Source organism: Homo sapiens, chromosome 5 (assembly GCF_000001405.40).
Source record: "Homo sapiens chromosome 5, GRCh38.p14 Primary Assembly".
Lineage (NCBI taxonomy): Eukaryota > Metazoa > Chordata > Mammalia > Primates > Hominidae > Homo > Homo sapiens.
In genome coordinates, this window is record NC_000005.10 from 66,185,520 (window position 1) to 66,209,855 (window position 24,336).

Sequence of the window (24,336 nt, forward strand, 5' to 3'; positions counted from 1 at the left end):
TGGACACCATTTTTCCAGTAGCATGTGCTGACTTGGTGGCTCTGTCACGTTTTGGTAATTCTTGCAGTATTTCAAACTTTTTCTTACGGTGATCTGTGGTCATTGATCTTTGATCTTACCATTGTAATTGATTTGGGACTCCACAAACCGTGCCCATATAAGATAGCAAAGTAATAGAGAAACGTTTGTGTTCTGACTGCTCCACTAACTGGCAGTTCTCCTGTCTCCCCCTCTTCAGGTCTCCTATTCCCTGAAACAGCAATATCGAAATTAAGCCAATTGATAACCCTATCATGGCCTCTAAGTTTTCAAGGAAAGTACAAAATTTCATGTCTCTCACTTGAAAAGCTAAAAATGATAAAGCTTACTGAGGAAAGAATGTTGAAAGCCCAGATAGGCTGAAAGCTAAGCCTCTTGTACAATGCAGTTAGCCAGGCATGAAAGCCAAGTTATGAATTTAAAGAAGTTGAAGGAAATTAAAAGTACTACTTTGGTGAACACATGAATGATAAGAAAGCAAAACAGCCTTATTGCTGTTTTCGGTGGTCTGGATAGAAGACCAAACCAGCCACAATATTTGTTTAAGCCAAAGCCTAATCTAGAGCAAAGCCTCAACTCTCTTCAATTCTGTGAGGGCTGAGAGGTGAGGAAGCTGCAGAAGAAAAGTTGGAAGCTAGCAGAAGTTAATTCATGAGGTTAAAGGAAAGAAGCTATCTCTAACAAAAGTGTAAGGTGAAGCAGCAAGTGCTGATGTAAGAAGCTGCAGCAAGTTATCTAGAAGTAGATTTTCTGGAAGCCAAGGTCATTGTCGAAGGTGGCTACATGAAACAACAGATTTTCAACGTAGATGAAACAGCCTTATATTGGAAGAAGATGCCACCTGGGACTTCCGTAGCTAGAGAGAAGTTAATGCCTGGCTTCAGAGCTTCAAAGCATAGGCTGACTCCTATTAGGAGGTAGTGCAGCTGGTGACTTTAGGTTGAAGCCAATGCTAATTTATCATTCTGAAAATCCTAGAGTCCTTAAGAATTGTGCTGAATGTATTCTGCCTGTGCTTTATAAACGGAACAAGGTCTAGATAACAACACATCTGTTCACAGCATGATTTACTATTTTAAATCCAGTTTTGAGACCTATTGCTAAAAAAACAAATTCCTTTCAGAATATTACTGTTCCTTGACAATCTCCTGGTTGCCCAAGAGCTCTGATGGAGATGTACAAGGAGATTAATGCTTTCATGCCTGTACAAACGATATTCATTCTGTAGCCCGTGGATCAAGGAGTAATTTTGACTTTCTAGTCTTATTATTTAAGAAATACATTTCATAAGGCTATAGCTGTCATAGATTGTGATTCCTCCGATGGATCTGGGCAAAGTACATTGGAAACCTAGAAAAGAGTTACCATTCCAGATGCCATTAACATTTGTTATTCATGGGAAGAGAACAAAATAACAACATGAGGCCAGGCGGGGTGGCTCACGCCTGTAATCCTAGCATGTTGGGAGGCTGAGGAGGGTGTATCAGTTGAGGTCAGGAGTTTGAGACCAGCCTGGCCAACATGGCAAAAGCCCATCTCTACTAAAATACAAAAATTAGCCAGACATGATGGGTGCATGTCTGTAATCCCAGCTACACAGGAGGCTGAGGCACAAGAATTGCTTGAGCTTGGGAGGTGGAGGTTGCAGTGAGCTGTGATTGCGCCATTACACTCCAGCCTGGGCAACAGAGGGAAACTGTCTTAAAAATAAATAAATAAATAAAAATAAAAAGCAACATCAAGAGGAGCTTGGAAGTAGTTGCTTCCAGCCCTCATGGATGGCTTTGAGGGGCTTAAGACTTCAGTGAAGGACTTCACTGCAGATGTAGAAATAGAGAACTAGAATTAAAAGTGGAACCTGAAGATGTGACTGAATTGCTGCAATCTCATGATAGAACTTGAAGAGATGAGGAGTTGCTTCTTATGGATGAGCAAAGAAAGTGGCTCCTTGAGATGTAATCTACTCCTGGTGAAGATGCTATGAATGCTGTTGAAATGACCACAAAGGATTTAGAATATTACTTAATTGATAAAGCAGTGGCAGGGTTTGAAAGGATTGACTCCAATTTTAAAAGTACTACATGGGTAAAATGCTGTCAGACAGCATCCCATGCTACAGAGAAATCTGTGAAAGGAAGAGTCAATCGATGTGGCAAACTTTATTATTTTAAGAAATTGCTACGTTTACCTCAGCCTTCACCAATCACAACCCTGATTAGCAGTTATCAACATCAAGGCAAGACCCTCTACCAGCAAAAAGATTATGACCCACTGAAGGCTTAGACAATCGCTAGCATTTTTTAAGCAGTATTTTAAATTAAGGTATGTACACTTTTTTAGATATAATGGTATTGCACACTCAATAGGCCATAGTTATAAAACATAACTTTTAAATGCACTGGGAAACCAAAGAATTTATGTGACTTGCTTTATTGTGATACTCACCTTATTATGGTGGCCTGGAACTGAACCCCTAATATCCCTGAGAATGCCTGCAACTTCCATCTTGTTCCCACCCTCAGTCACATCTGCTAAGTCCTCCCAATTGTGCATTTCCTCTGAAATATCTTAAGTATGCCCTTGTATGATTTTAGTTACATGGAATAGAATCACTCTAGCAGAAAAGTAACTGTAGTATTAGAATTGTCATTTTCCTTTTAGTCTGCTTCTGTAGCCTACTAATTGGTCTTGCAACCCCAGACCTTTTTCAAATTCATTTCAACGTATGTTGCCACTTGATTAAATGTATTTAAATTGGTCTGAGTTTTTTTGTAATTTCATTCTGGTTTTGGTATAAGGGGCATGCTTGCCTAATAGAATGAGTTGGAAAGTAATTCCCTCCTCTTCACTTTTCTGAAGGAATTTGTGTCAAATTGTTAAGGTAGAATACCTCAAAAAAGCCAACCTGAGCCTGGAATAGTCTTTCACACTACAAATTCAGTGTTAAAACTAGATTTAGAGTTATTCAAGCTATTTATTCTTAGGGTTTATTTGTTTTGTTTTGTTTTGTTTTAGAGTTGGGGTCTCACTATGTGGCCCAGGCTGGTCTCAAACTCCTGAGCTCAAGAGATCCTCCTCCTTCAGCCTCCTGAGTAGTTGGGACTACATGCACACATCCCCATGCTTGGCCCTTGTTTATTTATTCTTAAATGAGCATTGATGTTGTGTATCTTTAATGAAATTTGTCTATTTTATCTAAGTTGTCAACTTTATTGCCATGAAGTTATTCATACTTCCTTACGACCTTTTAATACATATAAGATCTATACCGATGTCCTCTCTCACTCATAATATCGTTAACTTGTGTCTTCCTTCTTTTTATTCTGATCAGTCAAGCTAGAGGTTTATCAATTTATTTTCTCAAATCAGATTTCACTGTCATCAATTTTTCTTTTTTAGTTCACTGATTTCTGCTCTTCATTATTTATTTTCTTTTTCTTCTTTTGGATTTAGTTTGCCCTCTTTTTCTAGTTTAAGGTGTGAACAGGAGTCACTGACTTCAGACCTTTCTTTTTTAATATATGTATTTAGTGCTATACATTTCCTTCAAAGCACTACTTTAGCTGTATTCTAACAAATTTTGCTGTGTTGTATTTTCATTTTCATTGAGTTCAAAATACTTCATAATTTTCCCTTAGATTTTGTCTTTGATCCATGGGTTATTGAAATGTGTGTTAATTAGTGTCCAAATATTTGGGAATTTTCAAAGATCTTTCTGTAACTGATTTCTAACTTAATTTCATCATGGTTAGGACACATCATTTGTATGATTTAATTCCTTTGAAATTGTCTGAGACATGTTTTATGGTCCACAAGTAATCCACTTTGGTGTTTTGCATGCACTTGAAAAGAATGTGCCTTGCTTTTGTTGAGTGAAGTAATCTGTAGTGCCAATTAGGTCATGTTCGTTGATAGTGGTGTTCAAGTCTTCTATGTACTTAATAATTTGCAGTCTGCTTTTTCTGTCAATTCAAAGTCTTGAAATTTCCAACTGGATTGTGGATTGTTTTATTTCTTTTAGCTCTGTTTCTTTTTAATTTTTAATATTTGTGGGGTTCATAGTAGGTGTATATATTTGTGGGGCATATGAAATGTTTTGATATAGGCATACAATGTGTAATAATCACATCAGAGTAAATGGGGTATCCATCACTTCAAGCATTTATCCTTTGTGTTACAAACAATCCAGATATACTCTTTTACTTATTTAAAAATGTACAATTAAATTATTATTGACTATAGTAACTGTTGTGCTATCAAATACTAGATCTTATTCATTCTTTCTATTTTTTTTGTACCCATTAACCATCCCCGCAGTTCCCCTCTACCCACCTGATTACCCTTCCCAGCCTCTGGTAACCATCCTTCTACTTTCTGTCTCCATGAGTTCAATTGCTTTTATTTTTAGCTCCCACAAATAAGTGAGAACATATGAAGCTTGTCTTTCTTTTTTCTGAGACTGAGTCTCACTCTGTTGCCCAGGTTGGAGTGCAGTGGTGCAATCTCGGCTCACTGCAACCTCTGCCTCCCAGGTTGAAGCGATTCTCCTGCCTCAGCCTCCCGAGTAGCTGGGATTACAGGCATTGCCACCATGCCCAGCTAATTTTTGTGTTTTTAGTAGAGATGGAGTTTCACCATGTTGGTCAGGCTGGCCTTGAACTCCTGAACTCAGGTGATCCACCTGCCTCAGCCTCCCAAAGTGCTGGGATTACAGGTGTGAGCCACCACACCAGACCGGAAGCTTGTCTTTCTATGCCTGACTTATTTCCCTTAATATAATGACCTCCAGTTCCTTCTATGTTGTTACAAGTGACAGGATCTCATTCTTTTTTATGGCTGAATAGTACTCCATTGTGTATATGTACCACATTTTCTTTATCCATTAGTCTCTTGATGAACATTTAGGTTGTTTCCAAATCTTGGCTATTGTGAATAATGCTGCAATAAACATGGGAATGCAGATATCTCTTTGATGTACTGATTTCTTTTCTTTTGGGTACATACCTAGCAGTGGGATTGCTGGATCGTATCATAGCTCTATTTTTAGGTTTTTTTTTTTTTTTTTTTTTTTTTTTGATGGAGTCTTGCTCTGTCCCCCAGGCTCGAGTGCAGTGGCATGATCTCGGCTCACTGCAACCTCCTCCTCCCAGGTTCAATTGATTCTCTTCCCTCAGCCTGTCAAGTAGCTGGGACTACAGGCAAATGCTACCACGCCTGGCTAGTTTTTGTATTTTTGCTAGAGACAGAGTTTTGCCATGTTGGCCAGGCTAGTCTGAAGCTCCTGACCTCAGGTGATCCGCCTGCCTTGGCCTCCCAAAGTGCTGGGATTATAGGCGTGAGCCACTATTTTTAGTTTTTTGAGGAACCTCCACACTATTCTCCGTAGTGATTGTACTAATTTAAACTTCCACCAGCAGTGTATGAGGATTCCCGTTTCTCCACATCCTTGCAATTTGTAACTGCCTGTCTTTTGGATAAAAGCCATTTTAACTGGGGTGAGATGAAATCTCATTGTAGGTTTGATTTGCATTTCTCTGATGATCATTGATGTTGAGTACTTTCCTTTCTTTCTTTTTTTCTTTTTTATTACATCACAGTTCTGTAGCTCAGAGTTAAAGAAGGCTTGCCTGGGTTCTCTGCTTAAGGTCCCACAAGGCTGAAGTCAAGATGTCAGACAAGGTAGGCTCTTATCTGGAGGCTCTGGGGATGAATCCAGTTCCATGCCCATTCAGATTTGGGACAGATTTTGATTCCCATATCCTTCCTAGTTGTCAGCTGAGAACTGTTTTCAGCTTCTAAAGGTTACTCATATTCTTCTCAAATTCCCGTCTTCCATTTTTGAGCCAACAGCTTACATCAGATTCTTCTCTTGCTTAGAATCTGTCTGACTTCCTTTTCTGCCACTGGCCAGAGCAAATTCTCTTTTAATGGGGGCATGTGATTCAATTGGTCCCAACTGGATAGTCTCTTCTTTCATTATCCCAAAGTCAACTGATTTAGTAATATTAATTACATCTAAAAAAATTCCCTTTTTGTCATGTAACATAACATAATCATGGGAATGGAACTAATCATATTCATAATTCGAAGAGAGGAGAATATACAAAGGCAAGGGTCATTGGGGGGTCATTCTTAGAATTCTGCCTTCCCCAAGTGAGGAAGTGGGAGGACTCAAGTGACTCTTGAGATTTATGGTTAAGGTATTTGGGTGGATGGTGGGGCCACTCAGTGAGGTAGGGAAATCCAGGGCAAGAAGTAGAGTCGGTCATTCATTCATTCATTCATTCATTGACAGGATCTTTCTCTGTCACCCAGGCAGAAGGGCAGTGGCATGATCCTAGCTCATGGCACCTTCAAACTCTGGGGCTCAAGTGATCCTTTTGCTTCAGCCTCCCAAGTAGCTGGGACTACAAGCGTGTCCCACCACACCTGGCTATGGGGTTTAGATGTGTTGAACTTCGGGTACCTTGCTACATCTAAGTGGAGACTCCAGAAGGTAGTGGTAGATACAGACCTGGAGCTCAGAAGAGAGGTCTGGGCTAGAGATACAGATTTGGGAGTAATCTTCAAACAATGATAGTTAAAATCAGGCAAGTAGATGAGCTCACCAAGGGTGCATGTGAGAAACTGTCCAAGGAAAAGACCCTGTAGACATTTGCATTAAATGGATGGGTAGGAATAGGAGCCTGGGAATTGTTAGAGAGAACCATGGAGAACTAGATGACGATGCGTCAAGAGAACACTAAAAGGCAGTTGTGGGCAGCTGCGTCAAATGAAGCATACAGGGTCTGTTTCAAATAAAGATTTAGGATAGTAAATCAACCAAATCCAGATGATTCGAATAGTCCTTTTTGCTGGGAACAGAAAGCAAAATGTTGAGCACCTTTTCATACACCCGTTTGTCATTTGTATGTCTTCTTTTGAGAAATGTCTGTTCAGATCTTCTGCCCATTTTTAAATTGGATTATTAGATTTCTTTTTCCTGTAGAGTTGTTTGAGCTCCTTGTATATTCTGGTTATAAATCCCTTGTCAGATGGATAGTTTGCAAATATCTTCTCCCATTCTGTGGGTAGTCTCTTCACTTTGTTGATTGTTTCGTTTGCAGGCAGATGCTTTTTAACTTGATAATTACATTTGTCCATCTTTGCTTTGGTTGCCTGTGCTTGTGAGGTATTACTCAATAAATCTTTGCCCACTCCAATGTCCTGGAGAGGTTCTCCAGTGTTTTCTTTTAGTAGTTTCATAGTTTGAGATTTCAGATTTAAGTTTTTGTTTTGATTTTTGTATGTGGTGAGAGGTAGGGGTCTAGTTTTATTCTTACCCAGTTTTCCTAGCACCATTTAATGAGGGCCTATCCTTTCCTGAGTGTATGTTTTAGGCACCTTTGTCAAAAATGAATTCACTGTAGGTGTATAGATTTGCTTGTGGGTTCTCTATTCTGTTCCATTGGTCTGTGAGTCTGTCTTTATGCCAGTACCATACTATTTTGGTTACTGTAGGTCTGTAGTGTTAATTTGAAGTCAGGTAATATGATTCTTCCAGCTTTGTTCTTTTTGCTCAGGATAGCTTTGGCTATTCTGTGTCTTTTGTGATTCCATATAAACTTTAGGATTTTTTTTTATTTCTGTGAAGACTGTCATTGGTATTTTGATAGGGATTGCATTAAATCTGTAGATTGCTTTGGGCAGTATGGACATTTTAACAATATTGATTCTTCCAATCCATGAACATGAGGTATCTTTTCATCTTTTTGTGTGTCTTCAATTTCTTTGATCAGTGTTATATAGCTTTCATTGTACAGATCTTTCATTTCTTTGGTTAATTCCTATGTATTTTATTTTATTTATAGCTATTATAATGGGGTTACATTCTTGATTTTTTTCAGATTGTTCACTATTGGCATATAGAAATGCTACTGATTTTTTAATGTTGATTTTGTATTCTGCAACTTTACTGAATTTGTCTATCAGCTTTAATAGTTTTTCAGTGGAGTCTAAGTTTTTTCAAACTTAAGGTCATATCATTTACAAAGAAGGATAATTGGACTTCCTCTTTTTGAATTTAGATGCCCTTTCTTTCTTTCCTTTGTCTGATTGTTCTAGCTAGAACTTCCAGTACTATGTTGAATACCAGTGGTGAAAGTGGGCATCCTTGTCATGTTCCAGATTGTAAAGGAAAGGCTTTCAGTTTTCCCCCATTCAGTATGATACTAGCTGTGGGTCTGTTGTACATGGCTTTTATTATGTTGAGGTATGTTCTTTCTATATGTAGCTTTTTGAGTTTTTTTTGTTTTATCATAAAAGGATGTTGAATTTGTTATCAAATACATCTTCAGCATCAATTGAAATGATCATATAGTTTTTGTCTTTATTCTGTTGATATAATGTATTACATTGATTTGCATATGTCAAACCATTCTTGCATCCCTAGAATAAATCCCACTTCGTCATGATGAATGATCTTTTTAATGTGTTGCTGAATTTGGTTTGCTAGTATTTTATTGAGGATTTTTATATCAATGTTTGTCAGGGACATTGGCCTGTGGTTTCTTTTTTTATGTGTCTTTGTCTAGTTTTGGTATCAAGGTGATACTGGTCTCATAGAATTAATTTGGAAGTATTCCTTCCTCCTTTATTTTTTGGAATAGTTTGAGTAGGATTGGTGTTAGTTCTTTAAATGTTTGGCAAAATTCAGCAGCAAAACCACTGGGTCCCAGGCTATTCTTTGCTGGGAGACTTTTTATTATGGCTTCAATCACATTATTTGTTATTGGTCTGTTTGGGGTTTGGATTTCTTCATGGTTCAATCTTGGTAGATTATATGTGTCTAGGAATTTATCAATTTCTTCTAGGTTTTTCAGTTTATTGGCATATTGTTGCTTATAGTAGCCTCTAATGATCCTTTGAATTTCTGTGGTATCAGTTATAATGTCTCCTTTTTCATCTTTGATTTTATTTACTTGGCTATTCTCTCTTTTTTTCTTAGCCTGGCTAAAGATTTGTTCATTTTATTTATCTTTTCAAAAAACCAACTTTTTGTTTCATTGATATTTTGTATTATTTTGTTTCAATCTCATATCTGCTCTGATCTTTATTATTTCTTTTCTTCTACCAACTTTGGGTTTGATTTGTTCTTGGTTTTCTAGTACTTTAAGATTGTTAGATCATTTATTTGAAGTTTTTCTACTTTCTTGATATAGGCACTTATAGGTATAAACTTCCTTCTTAGTACTGCTTTTGCTGTATCCCATAGGTTTTGGTATGTTGTGTTTCATTTGTTTCAATAAATTTTTCAATTTCCTTCTTAATATCTTCATTGACTCACTGGTCATTCAGGAGCATATTGTTTAATTTCCATGTATTTGTATAGTTTCCAGAATTATTCTTGTTATTGATTTCTAGTTTTGTTCCACTGTGGTCAGAGAAGGTACTTGATATTATTTCAATTTTTTGAATGTTTTAAGATTTGTTTTGTGGCCTAACATATGTTCTATCCTTGAGAATGATCCATGTGCTAAGGAGAAGAATGTGTATTCTGCAGCTATTGGATGAAATGTTAAGTAAATAACTATTAGGTTCATTTGGTCTATAGAACAGATAAATTCCAATGTTTCTTTATTGATTTTCTGACTGAATGATGTGTCCAATGCTGAAAGTGGGGTATTGAAGTATCCAGCTATTATTGTTTTGGGTCTATCTCTCTTTAGCTCTAATAATATTTGCTGAACTGGGTGCTCCCAAATTGGGTGCATATATATTTACAATCGTTGTATCCCCTTCCTGAATTGACCCCTTTATCACTATATAATGACCTTCTCTGTCTCTTATTATAGCTTTTGTCTTGAAATCTATTTTGTCTGATATAGGTATAGCTATTCCTGTTCTTTTTTGGTTTCCATTTGTGTGGAATATCTTTTTCCATCCCTTTTTATTCAGTATATGTCTTTATTGGTGAAGTGTGTTTCTTGTAGGCAACAGATTATTAAGGTCATGTTTTTTATCCATTCAGCCACTTTATATCTTTTGATTTTGCTTTCTGGTTGTTTTGCGGTCTTCTCCTTCCTGTCTTCATTTTAGTGAAGGTGATTTTCTCTGGTGCTTTTTATTTGTGTATTCGTTGTATGTTTTTAGATTTGATGTTACCATGAAACTTGCAAATACTATCTTATAACTCATTGTTTTAAACTGATGACAACTTGATGCTGGTTGCATAAACAAACAAGCAAAAAGAAAACTAATAAAAACTACACTTTAACTTCATCTCCCCCTTTTTAAGCTTTTTGTTGTTTCTGTTTATATCTTATACTGCCTATGTCTTGAAAAGTTGTTGTAGTTATTGTTTTTGATTGGCTCATCTTTTCATTTTTCTCCTTAAAATATGAACTGTTTACACACCACAATTATAATGTTATAATATTCTGTTTTTCTGTGTACTTACTGAGTTTTGTACCTTCAGATGATTTCTTATTGCTCATTAACATTCTTTTCTTTCAGATTGAACTCCCTTTAGCATTTCTTATAAGGCAGGTCTGATGTTGATTAAATCCCTCAGCTTTTGTTTGTCTTGGAAAGTCTTTGTTTCTCATTCACGTTTGAAGGGTATTTCCACTGAACATACTATTCTAGAATAACAATTTTTTTTTCCTTCAGCACTTTAAATATGTTATGTTGCTCTCTCCTGGCCTGTAAGTTTTCCACTGAAAAGTCTGGGACAGATGTATTGGAGCTCCATTGTATGTTACTTTTTTTCTTTTCTCTGGATGATTTTAGGATCCTTTCTTTATCCTTGACTTTTGGAAGTTTGATTATTAAATACCTTGAGGTAGGTCTTTTTTTTTTTTTTCCCGAGACGGAGTCTCGCTCTGTCACCCAGGCTGGAGTGCAGTGGCACAATCTCAGCTCACTGCAAGCTCCACCTCCTGGGTTCACGCCATTCTCCTGCCTCAGCTTCCCAAGTAACTGGGACTACAGGCACCTGCCACAACGCCCGGTAATTTTTCGTATTTTTAGTAGAGATGGGGTTTCACCGTGTTAGCCAGGATGGTCTCGATCGCCTGACCTCGTGATGTGCCTGCCTCGGCCTCCCAAAATGCTGGGATTACAGGTGTGAGCCAGTGCACCTGGCCGAGGTAGGTCTTCTTTAGGTTAAATCTGCTTGGTGTTCTAAAACCTTCTTGTACTTGAATGTTGATATCCTTCTTTAGGTTTGGGAAGTTCTCTTTTATTATCCCTTTGGATGAACTTTCTACTCCTATCTCACTCTACCTCCACTTTATGGTCAATAACTCTTAGATTTGCCCTTTCAAGGCTATTTCCTAGATCTCATAGGTGTGCTTCATTCTTTTTTTATTCTTTTTTCTTTTGTCTCCTCTGTGTATTTTCAAACAGCATGTCTTCAAGCTAACTGTTTGTTCTGCTTAATTTTGCCATTAACAATTCTGATGCATTCTTCGGTATGTTACTTGCATTTTTCTTTTTTTTTTTTGAGACGGAGTCTCCCTCTGTCACCCAGGCTGGAGTGCAGTGGCGCAATCTCGGCTCACTGCAAGCTCTGCCTCCCTGGTTCACGCCATTCTCCTGCCTCAGCCTCCTGAGTAGCTGGGACTACAGGCGCCTGCCACCGCACGCAGCTAATTTTTTATATCTTTAGTAGAGACGGAGTTTCACTGTGTTAGCCATGATGGTCTCGATATCCTGACCTTGTGATCTGCCCGCCTCGGCCTCCCAATGTGCTGGGATTACAGGCGTGAGCCCCCATGCCCTGCCTGTTACTCACATTTTTCAACTCCAGAATTTCTGCTTGATTCTTTTTTAATTGTTTCAATCTCTTTGTTAAATGTATCTGATAGGATTCTAAATTCCTTCTCTGTGTTATCTCAGATTGCTTTGAGTTTCCTCAGAACAGCTATTTTGAATTCTCTGTCTGAATAAACACATATCTCTGTTTCCCCAGGATTGGTTCCTTGTGCTTTATTTAGTTCATTTGACGAGGTCATGTTTTCCCAGATGGTCCTGATACTTATGAATGTTCATCAGTGTTTGGCCATTGAAGAGTTAGGTGTTTATTGTATCTTTGCAGTCTGAGCTTGTTTGCACCTGTTCTTCTTGAGAAGGCCTTCCAGGTATTTGAAGGGACTTTGGTGTCGGTATCTAAGCCATATCTATGGTAGGGCACACCTCAAGCCCAGTAATGCTGTGGTTCTTGGAGACTTGTAGGGGTTCTGCCTTGGTGGTTTTGGATAAGATATGGAAGAATTCTCTGGATTACCAAGCAGTGACTCTTGTTCTCTTCCCTTACTTTCTTCCAAAGAAATGGAATCTTTTTCTCTCTGTGCTGAGCTGCCTAGAGCTAGGGGAGGGGTGACACAAGCACCCCTGTGGCCACCACTACTGGGACTGTGCTGAGTCAGACCTGAAGCCAGCACAGCATGGGGTCTTGCTCAAGTCCTGCTGTAACTACTACCTGGCTACTGTTTGCATTTGCTCAAGGCCCTAGGGTTCTTACCACCTACGATCAGTAGGTGGTAAAGCCAGCCAGGTTTGTGCCCTTGCCTTTAGGGCAGCAACTTCCCTCAGGCCCTGGGTGGGTCCACAGATAGTGTCAGGGAGCCAGGACCAGGAGTCAGAAACCTTAGAAATCTATGTGGTGCTCTATTCTACTGTGGCTGAGCTGGCACTGAAACCACACGACAAAGTCCTTCCCACTCTTCCCTCTCCTTTCCCCAGGCAGAGGAGTCTTTCCCCATGTCAACCATCATCACAGGCCCACAAGGAGCAGTGCCAGGCTACTGCCAACGTCCACTTAAGGATCAAGGACACTTTTAGGCAGTTTGTGGTGAAGGCTACGAGTCCTGAATCTCTCCCTTCAGGGCAGTGGCTCCCCTCTGGCCCAGGGTAGGTCTAGAAATGCTGTCTAAGAGCCAAGGCTTGGAATCAGGGATCCCAAGAGGCTGTTTGGTGCTCTACTGTGGCCAAACTGGTATCTAAGCTGCAAGACAAAGTCCCCTTTACTCTTCTCTCTGCTTTTCTCAAGCAGAAGGAGCCTCTCCTTGTAGCCACCACAGCTGTGAATGTGCTGGGTCACACCTGAAGCCAGCACATCTCAGAGTCTCACCCAAAGCTTACAACACTGCTGAGTATTCAGGGCCCAAGAGCTCTTTAGTTAGCAGGTGATGAATCCTGCCAGGACTGTGTCTTTCCCTTCAAGACAGTGGGTTCCCTTCTGGTCTAGGGTGTATCTGGAAATGTCATTTAGGAGATAGGGCCTGGGATGGGGCCCTCACAACTCTGCCTGGTGCCTATCCTACTGTGGCTGAGCTGGTATCCAAGTTGCAAGACATAGTCCTCTTTACTTTCCCCTATTCCCAAGCAGAGGGAAGGGGCGTCTTTTAGAGCTGTGAGCTGCACTGCCTGGGGTTGGGGGAGGGGTGGTGGAAGCACTCCATTAGCTGCCTCAGCTGGTGTCTCTCTAGGTCACATGCCCCTCAAGTCTACTAGCTCTGAGCCCAACACAGCACTAGGACATACAGTCCTTGTGGCCTAGACTGCCTTTCAAGTTTATTTAGAGCACTTTAGCCCATGGTGGTCAGGTTTGCTGACACTCAGGTTTTGACCACTGGGATGGGTGATTCCCCTCTGGCTAGGGCTTGTCTAAATGCTCCCTCTGTGGGTGTCCACTGAGTTCTGTCTGGCGTTGGCAGCACTGAGTTCCAATGCAAAGTCCCACAATTGCTGTACTCTCCCTCCTCCAAGCATACAGATTTCCTCTGCACAGTACATGTCTGCTGCTGGGGGATGGGAGAGGGGTAGCATGGCAATTCAGGACTGTCTTTTCTACCCTCTTCAGTGTCTCTTTCAGTGATATTAAGTTAAAACTAGGTACTGTGATCACTCACTTGATTTTTGTTTCTTATGAAGATGTTTTTTGTGTAAATAATTGTTAAATTTGATGTTCCTGTGGGGAGGATGATCAGTGGAGGATTTTATTCAGCCATATTGCTCTGCTTCCCTCCCTTTTTGTTTTTTGTTTTTGATATGGGGTCCTGCTCTGTCACCTGGGCCGTAGTGCAGTGGTGTGATCATAGTTTACTGCAGCCTTAAACTCCTAGCCTCAAGTGATCTTCTTGCCTCATCATCCTGAGTAGGTAGGACCACAGGTGCATGCCACCATGCCCAGCTAGTAAAAAAAAAAATTGTAATAGATAAGATCTTACTATGTTGCCCAGGCTGGTCTTGAACTCCTGGCCTCAAGCAATTCTCTGACATCAGCCTCCTGCATAGGTGGGATTACAGGCATGAGCTACCATCCCCAACTTAGTTCTGTTTTTGTTTTATGTATTTTGAATCTCTGTTATTAGGTTCATAAATGTTTCAGATTGTTATGTCTTCATATTAAACTGACCCTTTAATCATTATTAAATTACCCTTTTTATTTCTGATATTTTTGTTTTAAAATCTTTCTGAAATTAATACTAGCATTGCAATTACAATTTGTTTCTTGTTTTTTTTTTGTATCAGCATTGTATAATCTTTTCCTATCCTTTTACTTCAAACTTCTTTGTGTTTTCATATTTACAGTGCACTTCTTGTGCGCAGTGTATAGTTTGATGTTGGCTTTTTATCCAGCCTGACAACCTCTGCCTTTTAGTTGGAGTGTTTAAGCCAGTTGTGTTGAATGTGATTATTGAGATCACTGGATTTAAATGTGCCACCTTGCTATTGTCCTCTATTTATCTCTTCTATTTTTGTTTCCTTTTTCCTCTTTGTCTTCTTTTGAACTAATTGAATATTTTTAAAACTCCATTTTATCTTCTCTGTTGGCTTATTAGCTAACATTTTTTGTTTTAATTTTTAAATAGTTTTAGGGTTTTGTGTGTGTGTCTGTGAAGTGAGTGTATTTTTAAAGTTATCACAGTCTACTTTTATGTAATATTATACCATTTCATATATAGTATAAGAACGTTACAATAATATTTATTGATTTTTAAACTCCCAAATTTGTGCTAATTTTCTCCTGCATTTTACTTAATGTATGTGTTGAAATCCCCACAATATGGTGTTATTTTTGCTTTAAACAGTCAGTTTGATTAAAAAAATAAAAAATTCCTCATATTTACCCATAGATTTACAATTCATGGTACTTTTCACTTCTTTGTGTCAATTCAGATTTCTACTTCACGCTATTTCTCTCCTGCCTGAAGACATCCTTTAGCATTTCTTACAGTGCAGGTCTGCTGAGGATGGATTCTTTCACCTTGTTAAAAGAAAAAACCTTAGACAAATTACATTTAATAGAGTTTAATTGAGCAAAGAATGATTCAAGAATTGGGCAGCACCTGAAACAGAATAGGTTCAGAGAGACTCTAGCACAGCCATACGGTAGGAGAAAATTTATGGACAGAAGAGGGAAAGTGATGTGCAGAAAACAGAAATGAGGTACAAAAACAGCCAGATTGGTTACAGCCCTGCATTTAGCTTATTTGAACACAGTTTGAACAGTTGGCTGCCTTTGATTGGCTGGAACTCAGTGATTGGCTCATGAGTAGGTTATACATCCCGTTAGGTTAGAGTTCACTGTGTACAGAGAAACTGTTAGGCCAAACTTAACATGTGTAAAGAGGCAGCTTTAGGCTAATGTTAACAACCTTTTGCATGCTGAACAAGTTTTTGTGTCAACTTATTTTTTAAAGATATTTTTGCTGGCTATAGAATTATACATTAATTTTTTTTTCTTCTCTTAGTTCTTTAAAGATGTGCTACCACTGAACTCTGGTTTACTTTGTTTCCAACAAGGTGTCTGCCATCATTCTTGTTCCTCTACATAGAATGTGGCTTTTTTTCTGTAGCCACTTTTAAGATCTCTTTTCTCATTGGTTTAAATCAATTTGACTGTGATGTGTTTGGTGTAGGTTTATTCATGTTTATTGTGCTTGTTGTTCTTTGAGCTTCTTTAGTCTGTGTTTAGAGTTTTTGTTAAATTTGGAAATTTTCTAATCATTATTTCTTCAAATATGTTTTCTTTCTCCTCCCTCCCCACTTCATGGTCTCCAATTATATGTATTTTAGTCACTTGAGGTTGTCCCACAACTTGCTGATGCTTTGTTCAATTTTTTCATTGTTTCATTTTGGATAATTCTGTTTCTGTATTTCTGAGTTTACTAGTATTACGTAGTTTCTAATCTGCTGTTAATCTCATCTAGTGTATCTTAAAAAAACCCTCAGATATTGTATTTTGTAATTCTCTGGGTTCAATTTAAGTCGTTTTAACATCTTCCATGTTTCTGTTTTCCAAGCTTAAATGTAAAGTAATTTCAGCATGTAAAAATAATTTAGAATTTTACCTTGTTGGGTGCTGATTATTTTGGTATTCTGTAGATATTCTTGATCTTTGTTCTTAGACGCACTTCAGTTACTTGGGAACAATTTCTTTCAAAGCTTGATTTTTAAGCTTTGTTGGAGATCAGCCTTTTCTCCAGAGATAATTTTGAGCATTCCTGAAGCAATATCCTTCTGAGTACTTGATGCCCTGGGAATGTTACTCCCTCCACTGCTTTCCACCAGGCTCTTAGAAACACAAACGATTTTCTCCTTGTTTGAGCTCTAGGGATTTTTTTTTTTAATCATTCAGATGTTTTTTCCTGGCCCTTGGTTGGTTTCTCCCTATACATATGTTGATCATTACTTAGCTGAAGACACAAATAGACCTACCTACAGATCTTCAAAGCTTTTTCTCTGTGCACCTCTTTTCTCCACACTCTGTCCTGCCATCTTGGCCTCAGTGGACTCCCAGCTTCATCAACTCAACTCAGACCACTGGGTTTGGCTTCCCTCTACTTGAGCCTGTACACTTTTTCAAGGCAGTAAGCTGGGGCACTCATAGGGCTTACATCCTTTGTTAATAAGGGATCACTAACCTGCACTGCCTGATGTCCAATGTCTGAACTCCCCCCGCCCACCACCCCCCACACACGTGCACATACACATATACATATCTAGTTTTTTGTTGTTTCAGGTGGGATGGTAAACACAGTTCCTGTTATTAAATTTTGGCCCAAAGTAGAAGTCCAGTGTCATAATTTTTTGCCTGTCTTTTTTGGCTGTATAGTTTTTGCTGATAATATATTTTAGTTACTACAAAAAAATTGACCATGTAAACACATTGCTAAGGTCCCTCCCAGAATTTTGGAAGGGGTTGGTACAAATGAGGGGTTTCTGAAACTTAAACATTATTAGCTTCACAGTAAATCCCTATTTGGGTCTTATTTAGGAAAAAAGGAAGGACAGGAACTAGCCTCAATCCAGCCCAATTAGCCTTCCCCCAAGTGCAACGAGGCCAATGACAACCAATGATGAAGGCAGTGTTTACAAGGACCAATCTCTTGACGGATCATTTAAAAACTCTTTAAAGATTCAGGGAAACCACCCAGCCAGAATGTTGATATCAAGACATGATGGATCTACTGTGTCTCCAAGGTAAGGCAGCTTGGAGTCCAGGTGGCTCAGGAGGGGATAGAGGTATGGGCCATCCATCCAAGAGATTGCTCACCTGCATGGAAGAGATCTCACTTTACTCCTTGAGCTGAGTCTGTGTTGCATGCCTATATATTTTTTGTCCTAGCTTCAAGTTTCTGTGAATTGCATGGTGTGAGAGCAAGCTGATATCAGAAACTTGACAGGGTGACTATATTCAATAATAACTTAATTGTACATTTTGAAATAACTAAAAGAGTGTAATGAGATTGTTGGTAACACAAAGGATAAATGCCTTGAGAAGCTGGATACCCCATTTTCCATGATGTGCTTATTTCACATTGCATGCCTGTATCAAAACATTTCATGCTCCCCACAAATATATACATGTCCTAGGTACCCACAAAAGTTAAAAGTAAAAAAATTAAAAAAAAAAAAGAAACTTGGATAGAGGTTAAACTGAGATATACTATAATCAGGATAATATGATTATAGAACAAATCATGAAACTAACAATTTAAGCTAAACAATTTAAACTACAGCTAACGACTTAGATTGTTGTCATGTGTATAGCTGGTGGTGTAAGGACAACTTCTGAATTTTGAAATTATATAGCTAGTGTGTTTCTTTTGAGAGTTCTCTAGGTTCATGAGCATGTAAGCTTTTTGTCATTGTCAAGATTAATAATAAACAGTAATAAATTAATAGCAACGATAAAAAATATGTTCTTTAGCCGTCTTCTCTGAAGCAAGAAAGGAATCTGGCAGCCTCTCAAAGAAACTGTGAAACCCAGGGAGGTGGGAGCAAGACTGCTGCTAACCTCTTTGGTGCCTTTGTGCAATTAGGAAAAAGTGCTGCCACTGGGCGATGCAACCTCATGGGTGCATGGCTTGGCAAGGGGAGCTCAGTTTGGAGTTCAGGCTCCTTTGTCTCCTGGACTGGGCAAGGTTGTGCAATAAATAGACTACAAAATTGTTGGTGAAGTACCAGTTGCAGGATGCTGCTTCAAGTCTCCTTCCTTCAGTCCTAGCCTCTGGCTGGCCTGTTTGGCAGGCAGAGGAATGACAGGTCAGTGAGAGATTTGTTGATTTAACAAAAGGATGAAAACCTGACTATGAAATCCTGAGCCCATATAAATATGCTGCAGAGGAATAAGAACAAACTGTCCACAAGCAACAGGATTTTAGAGCTTGAAAGGATCTTGTAAATAATGCAGTTCTTTCCTTTGTACCTTTACTTTACAGCTTTGGAATCCCAAAGCCCAAAGAGGAAGTGAGGAGCCCCAGGTCCCACCATTAGGTAAGCAGCAGAGTCTGGGAAGGACCTGGATGTTGTGATTCTAGCCCATGTTCTTTTCATGACCCAGCACTCAACCATCAGCAATTTCTTTTCCAATATTTACCACTTTTATAAATTAATATATGAATATATTTTCTTCTAATGTTTTTCTTACACTACAATTTATCTTGAAAATACAGATAAAAATGTAAGTTCTCTGATTCAAGGATTACAGGACTTCCAAACATCATTTATAGTATTTGAAAAACTGCAATTTTAATTTTCATGGGAATTGTGGCTTCTAGCAGTAATAATTCCATTACTCTTGATAAACCAACCAAGTTAATACAATTTGTGTTCAAAGATGTCCTAAAAGGCTGATGTAACTTTATAATCAGAACATGACTTTTAAAACTATTATAGCTATTAAAATAAACAATGAGAACATCTTCTAACATCACTCTAATATGATTTCCTGTTCTTCCAGGTCAGGTGGCAAAAGTTTAATGAGGAATTTAATTGCTTAATGAATCAAATAGGTCGTGTTTTTGCTCCAAGGGTTGAGGTAACATTGGTTCAGATGAAATATTAGAGTTTGGGTTAGAGAGTTTTACCTTCGAGGAATAAGACGTGCTTTAGAAATCATTTCCAGGTCCCCCAAATACTTTATTGTGCTTACCTTCATACCCTTACTAATTACTCTGCATAAAATCCACCAACCTTAGAGCTAGATTTCATTTTAGAAATATTTTGTTATCTAATTTTACCCAAATGGCATACACTAGGGCAGCCATAACAAAGTACCACAAACACGGGGTCTTAAAAAACAGAAATTTATTCTCTCAAAGTTCTGGCTAGAAGTCTGAAGTCAAGGTGTCAGTAGGTCCACGCTGTCTCTGAAGGCTCAAGGTGGGAGTCCGTTCCACGCCTTTCTCTTAGCTTTTGGTGTTGCCAGCAATCCTTGATGTTACTTGGCTTATAGACACAGCTCTCCAATCTCTGCTTCCATTGTCACATGACATTCTCCTGGTGTGTGCCCTTGTGTATCTCTTCCTCTTCTTATAATGACACCAGTCATATTGGATTAAGGGCCCATCCTACTCTAGTATGACCTGATCTTAACTAATTATATCTGCAAAGACCCTATTTCCAAATAAGATCACATTCGTAGATACCAGGGTTAGGGCTTGAGCATCTCTTTTTGGGGAACACAATTCTACCCACTGCAGCATGTACCCCTACTGCTTCTATGAATACAGAACTCTACAGGCTGTCATTAATTGCCAAAGCTTTCTGTGAGGCTCTTTTTGTTAGGTAAAAGTAGGATGCAGATGCAGGGTACAGTCACATACACACACCATTACTGACCTCAGAAGGCTTACAGTCTCATAAAAAAACTGATCGTAAATCAACCTGTAGCTATTCATTAGAAAAAGTCCTTTAGGGCTTAGTCCATTTGGACTGTTATAACAAAATACCTTAGATAGGTAACTTATAAACAACAGAAATTCATTGTTCACAGTTCTGGAGGCTGGGAAGCCCAAGATCAAGGCAGCAGCATTGATGTCTGGTGAGGGCCTGCTTCCTCATAGATGGCACTTTCTATGAGTCTTCACATGGCAGAAGGGGCTAATAAGCTTCTTCAGGCCTCTTTTATTATATAAAAGCACTAATCCCATTCATGAGGGCTTTACCCTCAAGACCTAATTATTTCCTAAAGGTCCCGCCTCTTAATCCTATTGCATTGGGGATTAGGTTTCAATATATGAATTTTGGGGAGATGCAAACTTTCAGACCATAGCGTGTAGTGATGGGAAGAAGACATGGTTTACATAATATGGATGGGGGGCCTCTCTGAGGATATGACATTAAACTGAGACTTGAAGGATGGCAGTGAATCAGCCATGGGAAAGATAAGGAGAATGTTCCAGGTAGAGTTAACAGCAAATACTAAGGCCCCAAGGCAGGAAAGAGCTTACCACTTTCCAGGGACTAAAGGAGCAAAGAGGGGGAGATGACAGAAGATGAGATTAAAGATGTAGGCAGGGGCCACATCTTTACTCTTTAATTGCCTAATGGGCAATGAATAGCTTCCAAACTTTTTTGCTGCAACCCTACAGCTAAGAAATACCTTTGACACACTACCTGGTCCATAGACGCATATATACACAACTGGACAGTAGATGGGAAGATAGTGAGTCGTCGTTAGATTTTTTGGTTGCCTTTTGGAGGTAGCATCTCCGGATCTCAAGGATTGTGCATGGGAAGGTGAAAGGATTCCAGATGATGCTCAGCAACTGGGCTTGAGTAGTTGTGTTGAAGGTGGTGCCAATAAATGACATGACAGCCTGGAGGAGGAAAAGGATTTTGTTGGGGAGGGTGTGGCTGAAAATAAACAGTTCCGTATTTGACATACTATGTTTTAAGATACCTGGATAGTAGTAGGAAAGCAAACTAACTGGCTGTTTTCTTCTACTATACTCTCAACACTCAACACAGCAAACTTCACATTAGGTCACAAAAATGTGTCAGGGGATTTCCGCAACAACCAATTCTCCAGCAGACACCAACTGGGTGTCCTGAATTCAGTTCAATTCTGATACTCTAACCTAGAGTCAGATCCCACAGGTTAGGGCTCAGTCCCACAAGACAACCTCCTATTTCCGATGCCAGTTGAAAATCCCAGATTGTGACTCGTGCTTCTAATGACTGGGTACAAATTGGGAGTTCCCATGACCCCCTCCTCAGATTCAATCATTTGTTAGAGCAGCTCACAGAACTCAGGAAAGTGTTTCATTTATGTTTCCTGGCTTATTATAGAATACATCACAAAAGATACAGATGAATGGCCGGGTGGAAGAGATGGCGTGGTGGCACACATCTGTAACCCCAGCACTTTGGGAGGCTGAGGCAGGAGGATCATTTGAGGCCAGAAGTTTAAGACCAGTCTGGGCAACATAGCAAGACCCTGTTTCTATTTAAAAAATAATAAAAAGTTAAAAAATGTGTAAAATATGTATAAAGGAAGAGATGCATAAGACAAGATATGAGTAAGGTGTCTTGGAGCTTCCATGCCCTCTCTGGGTGTACTAGCAACCTGGAAGCTCTCTGAATTCTATTCTTATGGTTGCTATGAAGGCTTCATTATGTAGGCATGAGTGATTAAATCACTGGCCATTGGAGATCAACTCAACCTACAGTCTCTCTCCCCTTCCTGAAGGAGGGTGGTGTGGGGGTGCTGAAAGTTCTAACCCTCTAATCACATGGTTGTTTCTCCTGGCATCTTGAGGCTCTCCATTAGTCCCCAGCCAGGGATCATCTCGCTAGCATACAAAAGGGTACTTATAACTTGGGAAATTCCAAAGGTTTTAGGAGTTCTGTGCCCTGAAACTGGAAGAAGACCAAAATATGTTATTTCTTCTTATAAATCACAATATCACAGTTACTGAAGTCAAAACCACAGAGATTATCACTTAAATAAAAGGAAGCAAGCTTCTTTTGCTTCTGTCTTGCTGCATAGCTCTGAAACCCAGTCCTGCCTTTTGTAAGAGTGAGTGAGCATGTGTGTGCACGTGTGCTGTGCTGAAGGGCTTTTCTGAGGTAAAGCGAAGTTCATGAGCCGAGACTGAGCTGAGCTGTCCAAATTGGTTTCAGCTGATGGCCTTTGTTAGTGGAGTTTGAATTCCTGCTATCTGTCTTGTTATTTTTTTCATTTTCTTTCCAAATTCATTTCTGGAGCTTGGGGCCTCAAAAATAACAAGTTGTTAAAATGACTGAGTATGCTGTCTGGCTCCACCGAGCCCAACCTCCCCCACTATGTGTCCTAAGCAGGACTGTGAGTCCTCATTTTCCAGATCAAGCTCAATGGAGCAGTGGCGGGGAACCAGGTCTGTTGATCCTCGCTCAGCTGGGGGAGGAGGGTGAGGCAGGTGGGGAGGAGGGACATCAAGGTTGGGAGGGCAAGAATGTGGAGGTAAAATGGTGAGTCAGAGGCAGGTGGAGATGCTGGCAAATCCTGGCTTATGTTCCAGAGCGTTCTTTAGCAATCTTAAGATGGAACTGAAATCTGGAATTAAAGAGTGAAAGTCTTTCGTAACAGAGGCCTCTTTGTTCTGGCTCAGATCCTCCTGGACCACAGTCACTCGAGGAAGCCTACCCCACACTTACAAAGACAAGACCTCGCCACACAGCATCTGTCCTCTTCAAGATCTGCCCCCACCAAGATGTGTCTCCAGACCAAAACCACAGTCAGATTGAAGCACAGGCCAGTGCAGAGGAAATACTGAACACAGAGGAAAAAATGGCAAGGCCCTAAATAGTAGGTTCAGCAGGCCCCAGGGGGCCGAGTGTGGAAGTGGATCTTGAGGGCTTGGAACTGGTGTTGGGGAGAATAGAAGGGTGGGAAGGTGAGAATTTACTCACATGGAAGCCCTCCCAGCAAAGACACCTGGGCCCATCCTCACTGGCGCCCGGTTGCTTTCATAGCCGCGGACACAACTTGGGCCCACAGTTAACGAGGAGGAAGGCAGAGCGTGCTGAGCAGAGCACCAAGGAAGAGAGCTCGGCTAGCCGGGAAGGTCCGAATGGATTTATTTGGTGAGGCCAAGGAACCCACTGCCTCCACGGTGTTCCTCCAGGAGGCTCCTCCCTTCACTAAGGCAGCAAGGAGTGCACTGGTGAGGGGAAGGTAGGTATTTTCCAGAGGCTTGGGGGTGGCTGAAGGCTGGGGCTGACCCTGGGCCATGTTGCCTCCGAACTGGCCTCCCTAGTGTCAGTGGGTGTGACACCAGTGGGTGCAGTTAATCCAATAGGCAGGGGAAACACAACACTGGTTTCTAGTGATAAGGACGGTAGTGCTTTCTCACTAGACTTGACCTGAAGAAAGTGCTCCTTCTCCCACAGTCCATCTCTCAGTGAACAATTTTGCCATCAGGCAGCAGCTCAGGCCAGAAAACTGCAGCCAGTAGCCCCAAGTCATGCCCCCACTGCCACCAAGTCCTGCTGTTTGTGAATGTTACTCACACGTGAGACGTCCTCACACGTGAGACGTCCTCGCCACTCTCTCTCCTCCTGCTGCAGTTCAGGTCCTCATCAGTTCTCATTCCGATTCTTCCTGGAGCCTCCTTTCTCCCTCCCTATGTCTAACCATTGTACACAATGGTCTTTCAAAACTGCAGGCTTCTCATGCCACTCCCCTGAAGAAAATTTTTCAGTGGCTTCCCAGTGCCCTCAGGGCAAAATCCCAGCTGGGGTGTGACATGCCAGGGGCGATGACTAAGGCCTTCCAGCCACCCCAGACCTACTGGGCTACCTGGAGGAAGTTGGCCTGCAGCTGGGGAGAGTGAGGCTGACACCTGTTGGTGAGCACAGCTGAGGAAAGGAGAGAGAGAGAAATTGAGGACATTTTTTGCACTAGGATCCAAAATGCCTGAGGCCTGCAGCATCCCTAGATGGCCTGGTTATAAGAGACAATGAATTCCCTTTTTATTTTGGAATTCACCTAATTTGAATTGGGCGTCAGTTACTTACGTTGAAAGAGTCCTAATTCAG

General features: G+C 40.2%; 2 long non-coding RNA genes across 2 annotated transcripts, besides 3 other annotated features; one reads left to right on the plus strand and one right to left on the minus strand.

Moving 5' to 3' along the window:
- Positions 1-1,725: 1,725 nt before the first annotated feature.
- LOC401191 (uncharacterized) lies at positions 1,726-23,819 on the plus strand. Its single transcript, XR_007058794.1, has 5 exons — positions 1,726-5,718; positions 17,306-17,511; positions 18,753-18,807; positions 22,908-23,104; positions 23,272-23,819. It is a non-coding gene; the product is annotated as an uncharacterized LOC401191 (long non-coding RNA).
- Positions 19,604-23,927, minus strand: LINC02065 (long intergenic non-protein coding RNA 2065). The gene is made up of 2 exons (NR_146488.1): positions 23,809-23,927; positions 19,604-21,134 (listed from the first exon to the last, which is right to left on the minus strand). It is a non-coding gene; the product is annotated as a long intergenic non-protein coding RNA 2065 (long non-coding RNA).
- Positions 22,879-23,379: an enhancer, noted in NCBI's record as "H3K4me1 hESC enhancer chr5:65504226-65504726 (GRCh37/hg19 assembly coordinates)". NCBI's record gives its function as "activates a minimal SCP1, AML or CMV promoter by ChIP-STARR-seq in primed H9 embryonic stem cells {active_cell/tissue: H9 hESC(primed)}" and the evidence as "EXISTENCE:reporter gene assay evidence [ECO:0000049][PMID:30033119]".
- Positions 22,879-24,336: a biological region, named in NCBI's record as "CDK7 strongly-dependent group 2 enhancer GRCh37_chr5:65504484-65505683".
- Positions 23,137-24,336: an enhancer, noted in NCBI's record as "CDK7 strongly-dependent group 2 enhancer chr5:65504484-65505683 (GRCh37/hg19 assembly coordinates)". NCBI's record gives its function as "activates an origin of replication core promoter dependent on BRD2, BRD4, P300/CBP, MED14 and CDK7 cofactors, with strong dependence on CDK7, by STARR-seq in HCT116 cells {active_cell/tissue: HCT116}" and the evidence as "EXISTENCE:reporter gene assay evidence [ECO:0000049][PMID:35650434]".